This window comes from Homo sapiens, chromosome 2 (genome assembly GCF_000001405.40).
Source record: "Homo sapiens chromosome 2, GRCh38.p14 Primary Assembly".
Classification (NCBI taxonomy): Eukaryota; Metazoa; Chordata; class Mammalia; order Primates; family Hominidae; genus Homo; species Homo sapiens.
In genome coordinates, this window is record NC_000002.12 from 11,466,752 (window position 1) to 11,473,686 (window position 6,935).

Below are 6,935 nucleotides of genomic sequence, written 5' to 3' on the forward strand. Positions count from 1 at the left end.
TAGCGCATCTTACAGGCAGGTCAGTGTTGATGCTTAGTAAATGTGAGCAACCACACCATTGTGGAATCGTTTTACCTCTGCCTGCCCGCCTGCCTGCCTGCCTGCCTTCCTTCCTTCCTTCCTTCCTTCCTTCCTTCCTCCTTCCTGTTTGACGAATGAGTTATCGTTGACCTATAGTGTCAGATATTGGGGTGGGCACAGGCGATACTTATTCGTTTGAATATGCCACGGGTTCAACCTCCAATTTCAGTGGGGACAGATAAGTAAACAGAGCATGTTAATTTAGCTGGAGCCAGAAGGTGTGTTTTCAAGTCCTGGCTGCCTCTACGTATAAACTAGAAGACCTTATTAAGCCAGTTACTTAATCTGTCTGTGCCTCAGTTTCCTTATTTGGAAAATGCAAATAATGACAATACTTACCTGATAAGGTTGTTGTGAGGATTAAATGGATTAATGGATACAGGTTGCTGTGATTAGAACAGAGGCCAGCACATGTTTGAAATAAAAAGGCAACACACCGTGGTATGTACAGAGTTGGAGGGAAACAACTGGTTAGACTGGGGGTTTCTACACAGCCTGAGGTGGGCGAGGTGAGGCAGGGAAAAATCCCCGAAGAAGCTGGTTCCCCACTAGACTGTGAGGTCAGAGGCCTTCTCTAATCTTTTTTTTTTTTTTTCTGTCACCCAGGCTGGAGGGCAGTGTCACGGTCATAATTCACTGTAGCGTCAAACTCCTGGCCTCAAGTGATCTCCCAGCTAAGACTCCCAAGTAGCTGAGAGTACAGGTGCATGCCACCATGCCTGGCTAATTTTTTTTTATGTTTTATTTTATTTTATTTTTTGAACTCCTTACCTTAAGCAATCCTCCTGCCTCAGCCTCCCAAGGTGCTGGAGTTATAGGCGTGAGACACCCATGCCTGGCTTCTAATCTTTGTATCTCTATCATCTAGCAAAGTGTCTGGCAAATAAAACATGCTCTATTAATGTTTGCTAAATAAACGATGAGAAAAAAAGAGAACGTAGCGGAGGTCTCGAGAAGACTGCATATTGTTGCAGAATGGAGAATTTCCCAGAGCCGTTAGAAATGGCCATTTGAAGGCATTTATTCAGCATCTGCTATGTGTTTGGCATTCCACATGCATTTGCTTATGTAAATCTCATATCAAAACTGAAAGATAGGTATTTTTCTGCCCAATTTGCAGATCAGCAAAATTAAGATCAGCAGGATTACAAAAATTTACTCAAGGTCCTAGTAGGCAGTGGTAGAGGCAGGCTTTGACTCCACAACTGATTAATTAATTTGGCATTCAGATCTTTAGGAAGATTCTTCAAGGACGACTAGATTCTCTACAACCAGAGTTGGGGTTGGGCAAGTAAAGGTGGGGTGTGGATCAGGACGGAGTAGCAAGTGGTCCAGGCTAAAGAAAGAGCATGAGCACAGAGCTGGGGAGAGTCGGGGAAATGGCACAATCCTCACACTTATTGTGCCTGTGACCTGGCTTTTCCCCAAGACATAATCTTTTGCACATTTTTTTTTTTGAAGCATCTCTCATGGGCCAAGCAGTAGGGTAGGTGTTGAGGGAAGAACTGAATCTGATGGGGCCTTACCTTGTGTTCCAGGGGCTACTAGCCTGGGGGAGATACATAAGCAGAAAGCATAAGTACTAAATTAGAGTGTGTCTAACACACAATAGCAGCACAGCAGAGGAAGAAAAAATAATAACTGAATTAGTTGTAAACTACAGGTGCTTTTCCACATCTGCCTGTGAGGCAGCTATTTCAAGAATACTTTATAGAAGGCCGGGCATGGTGGCTCACACCTATAATCTCAGCACTTTGGGAGGCTGAGGCAGGAGGCTCACTTGATTGAGGTCAGGAGTTTGAGACCAGCCTGACCATCATGGCGCAACCCTGTCTCTTCTATAAATACAAAAATTAGCCGGGCGTGGTGGCAGGCGACTGTAATCCCAGCTACTAAGGAGGCTGAGGCAAGAGAATCGCTTGAACTTGGGAGGTAGAGGTTGCAGTGAGCTAAGATCATGCCACTGCACTCCAGCCTGGGTGACACAGCAAGACCCTGTCTCAAAAAAAAAAAAAAAAAAAAAATATATATATATATATATATATATGAGGGTACAGAGGCTCAGAGAAGTTTGTTCCAGGTTGGGTACTCAAATACCAGGACTTTGGCCACTACATCCTTGGCTTTGTCCACCATGGCCTTACATTGATATACAGTCACAGTTCTGAGCACAGAAATTCTGGTATTTCCCAGTTCCAGCCCTGTTTTTGTGTATGCTTCCTGGGGCAAAATGGTGCTAGGGCAGAATGGGGCATGGGCTTTGGGACTTTCAAGTTAGGGCTGAAGACTATACTTCCCAGGGATCATTTTTAAAGTTAGGGCTGAAATATTAGGCCAACTGCACAGGTGTGCTTGAGCAATCCTGAAAGCCCTCATCTGTCAGAAGATATTTTACTTCCCTTCTACTTGAAAATGTCCTCTCCAGAGGTCCGTGAGGAAATGACCATATCCACTAGGGCTTTCTGTGATGATGGAAATGTTCCACATTGTTCCATATGGTGGCCACTGCCCCATGTGGCCACTGGCACCTGAAATAAGGCTGGTGTGTCTGAGGAAGTGAATTTCAATTTAATTTAATTTAATATAATTTGTAATTTAAATAGCCACATAAGTAGTTGCTACCATATTGGATAGCCCAGGCAAAGAAACTAAAATTGTAGATATCATTGAGTCCAGTTGCTATGGTCAGAAGGTTTGTGTTCCCTCAAAATTCACATGTTGAAACCTAATCTCCAATGTGATCATATTCGGACATGGGGCCTTTGGGAGGTGATTAGGTCGTGAGGAAAGATTGCCCAGGAGTGGGATTAGTGCCTAAGCCAAAGGGAAGAGCCAAGCTGAGAACCGCATCATGCAAACCTGCCTCCCATTCTGTTCCTAAATAAGATAGCTACAACGTTAAAAAGCTACATGCTTCCTCCACATTTTCCCCACAGGAAATTCCCTGTGGGCCCCAAGATCTTTACCCTAAAATAGTTCTGTTGAATTTCACCCGGACAATGTAGATTGACAGCTTATCTTCATAGGTATGGACAGGACATAGACAAAGGACAGAACTCAGTCATCCCTCTGCTCACCTGAGACAAATGCATAGCTGATGGCCTCCTCTGCCATGTTTATTTTGTCTTATGTAAAAGTGCAGATTCACTGAGCTAGGTGAATGCATAAGTGACTATTCCTCTACCCGCCTCTTCTGTGTGAACGGCTGATCAAAGTCTCAAAAGAATGCAACCACTTAGCTCTTATCTATCAACACCTTTTAAAAATTTCTTCCCCCTTCCCCAATATCTGCCCTTTCCCCTTTAAATATTGAAGCCCTCAAAATCATCTTCAGAGAAAGGTATAGACCTGTCTCTTAGGCATTGTCCTTAACCTTGGCAAAATAAACCTCTAAATTGATTGAGACCCGTCTCAGATACTTTTTGGTTTATGATGACCATCTGTATTAGTCAGGGTTTTCTAGAGGGACAGAACTAATAGGATAGATTTATATATGAGGGGAAGTTTACTAAAGAGTGTTGACTCACACAATCACAAGGTGAAGTCCCACAATAGGCCGTTTGCAAGCTAAGGAGCAAGGAAGCCAGTCCAAGTCCCAAAACCTCAAAAGTAGGGAAGCCAACAGTACAGCCTTCAGTCTGTGGTTGAAGATCCAAGAGTCCCAAAGCTGGAGAACTTGGAGTCTGATGTTCAAGGACAGGAAGCATCCAGCATGGGAGAAAGATGGAGGCCAGAACACTCAGCCAGTCTAGTCTTTCCATGTTCTCCTGCCTGCATTTTATTCTGGCCACACTGGCAGCTGGTTAGCTGGTGCCCACCCAGATTGAGAGTGGGTCTGCCTTTCCCAGTCCACTGACTCAAATGTTAATCTCCTTTGGCAGCACCCTCACAGACACACACCAGGAACAATACTTTGCATACTTTGTGGCTATTTAAATTAATTGCATCCAATTAAGTTGATGCTCAATATTAACCATCACATTATCTATGAACCAGGAAGCAAAGTGGACCTTCACTGGACACTGAATCTGCCAGTGCCTTGATTTTAGACTTCCCAGCCTCCAGAACTGTGAGTTTCTGTTGTTTATAAGCCCACTCAGTTCACAGTGTTCTGTTATAGTAGCCTGAACAGACTAAGACACCAGTGGTATTCTAAGCGTGGTCTGTGGACCTCAGCATTGCCATCACCTGCAAGCTCATTAAAAATACAAATTCTCTGGTCCTGTGCAGATCTACTGAATCAGAAACTGAAGGTTTGGGTGTACTCTGCAAGGCACTGGCCCAGTCCAACTCCTTATTTTCCAGATAAGGAAACTGCCCCCTGCCCCCTCTTCTGATACCCCTATATTACAGCCAAGTTAACTTTTCTAATGCAGTGTTTTGGGATTGAGGGCTTAGAACAAATACCAAAGGGCACCACTTGTCTCAGTCATTTTATGCCACTATAATAGAATACATTGGCTCACAGTCTGGAGGCTGCGAAGTTCAAGATCAAGATGCTAGCATCTGGTGAGGGCCTTCTTGCTGCATCATCACACTTACTGCTTCATCACATGAACATCTCCCATTGGGCCCCACTTCCCAGCACTGTTGCATTGGAGATTAAGTTTCCAACACATGAATTCTGGGGGGCACATTCAAACTATAGCATCATTGTAACCTAATATTTGCTAGATGTTCTAACTCTCTATCTATACCTCTCGCTCCAGCATAGGCATTCTTAGATCTTACAGATTGTTCTGATAGGTAAAGGTGGATGGGGTGATGGTGCAGAGAATGTAGGAAGAGGAGTCAAACTGGAGGCAAGAAGAACGGTTAGGATGCTGCCATAGTCACCGAACAAATAGCCAAACTGTGTTGGGGCTGTGAAAATGGAGAGGGAATAGACTCAAGAGAGGGAAACATAGAAAGAACAGAGTTTGGAGGCTGTTTGGATTCGAGGGAATCCATTGGCCTGACAATGGCAATTTGGGTGCTTGAAGTTTAGGCATGGATCATTCAGGGAGCGTGAGTGAAGCAACGTGGGGCAAAACCAGAGGATGGAACCCAGAGGAACACCCAAATTTAAAGGCCTAGGCCAGGCATGGTGGCTCACGCCTGTAATCCCAGCACTTGGGGAATGCTGACAGGGATGAGATGCAGACAGCTAATGGAGGAGGGGATGGGAGATGAGAGAAAGGACCCCACCTCCCAAGTGACGGGAGGAGGGGAGAAAAGTGTGAGGACAGATGCAGGTTAATTTGTAAGGTACTTTGGCAGGAAGTTGAGGGAATTCTTATTCTGTGAGGGAGGAGCAAAGGTCATTGGCTGACAGTAAGGTGAGAGGGTAGAATTGGAGATTTGAGAGACAGCAGGTGCTCAGCACATATTTATGGATGGGCAGATGGATGGGGAACAGTAGAGGAGACTGACTTGGGAAACATGACAAGATTGTGGGGCCTCACCAGAGATTATCTGTGCCTGTCTGTGGCTATCTCACAGGATCTCTAAGTACACATCCTCCCATGATAACTGGAGTAGGGAGAGGCACTTGTGAAGCATGGCAGAGGAGAAAGAGTGACAGCAAGGATTGTTCCCCATCAGTTTTCTGTAATATGTAATAGTCTGGGTCCTAGAACCTTAGAGCAGGAAGAGATATTGAGTATACCCTCTTACTTTACAGGGGAGGTGTAGTAGTCTGCTCTCACAGTGCTATAAAGAAATACCAGAGACTGGGTAATTTATAAAGAAAGGAGGTTTGATTGGCCCATGGTGGCACAGGCTGTACAGGAAGCATGGTGCTGGCATCTGCTTGGCTTCTGGGGAGACCTCAGAAGACTTACAATCATGGCGGAAGGTGAGGGGAAGCAGGCGCATCACATGACCAGAGCAGGAGAAAGAGAGTGAGTGAGGGGCAAGGTACTATACACTTTTAAACAACCAGATCTTCTGAGAACACACTCACTGTCATGAGAACAGCATGAGAATCTTATAGCATTTCCCAGGTCAGTCCCCTCTACTGTTCGCCATCCGTTCACCCATCTATAAATCTGTGCTGATTGCCTGCTGTGTCTCCCAAATCTCCAATTCTACCCTCTCCCCTTACTCCCCGCCCATGACCCAAGGGGACGGCGCTAAACCATTCATAAGAAACCCACCCCAATGATTCAGTCATCTCCCCAGGCCCCACCTCTTACATTGGGGATTACAATTCGAGATAAGATTTGGGCAGGGACACAAATCCAAAGCATATTAGTAGGAAACTGAGAACAGCGGTCAAATGACTTGCTTAATGTCCATAAGATGGTCCCTATCAGAGCTGCCACATGAACGCTGGTCTTATTCTTCCCAGATGAGTCCAACTTTTATGAAGGGCCCGGAACAAACACACTTGGCAGGAGAGGAGTGTGGAAGAGATGGGAGGATGCAGAAAGAGGAGGGTGGAGTGACATGAGCAGATGAGCCCAGGCTAGAGTGTGTCCAGCACCAACTCCAATTATCCCTCATGGCAGGTAACCTCATCTTTAGGACTCTCAGTGTCCGTATTTGTAAACTCAAGGTAAACATACATGCAATTGTGTTGTATGAGAGATAATAGGTGTCAAGTCCGTAGTGCAAAATCCATCTTCAATGGTCACTCAAGCTTCACAGTTTCACAGGAGCCATTTCTAATCGAGTCTTGAAGCTCTCTACCCCAGTGACTAAGAATGCTTCTAAAATGACATCAAATGGAACAAAGAGAGGTGCGGTGAACACTTTGTCCTGAGGTTTTGTTCAGAACTTGACAGGTTATCCAGAGGGCTCCCAAGATGGTAGCTCATGGAGGCTTTCATTGGTCCCAGCACATGGATTCAGTCTCTGCACTTAGCAACAGT

At 45.2% G+C, this 6,935-nt stretch overlaps 1 annotated feature.

Moving 5' to 3' along the window:
- Positions 146–225: an enhancer, noted in NCBI's record as "active region_15319". NCBI's record gives its function as "activates an Ori minimal core promoter by ATAC-STARR-seq in GM12878 lymphoblastoid cells {active_cell/tissue: GM12878}" and the evidence as "EXISTENCE:reporter gene assay evidence [ECO:0000049][PMID:35858748]".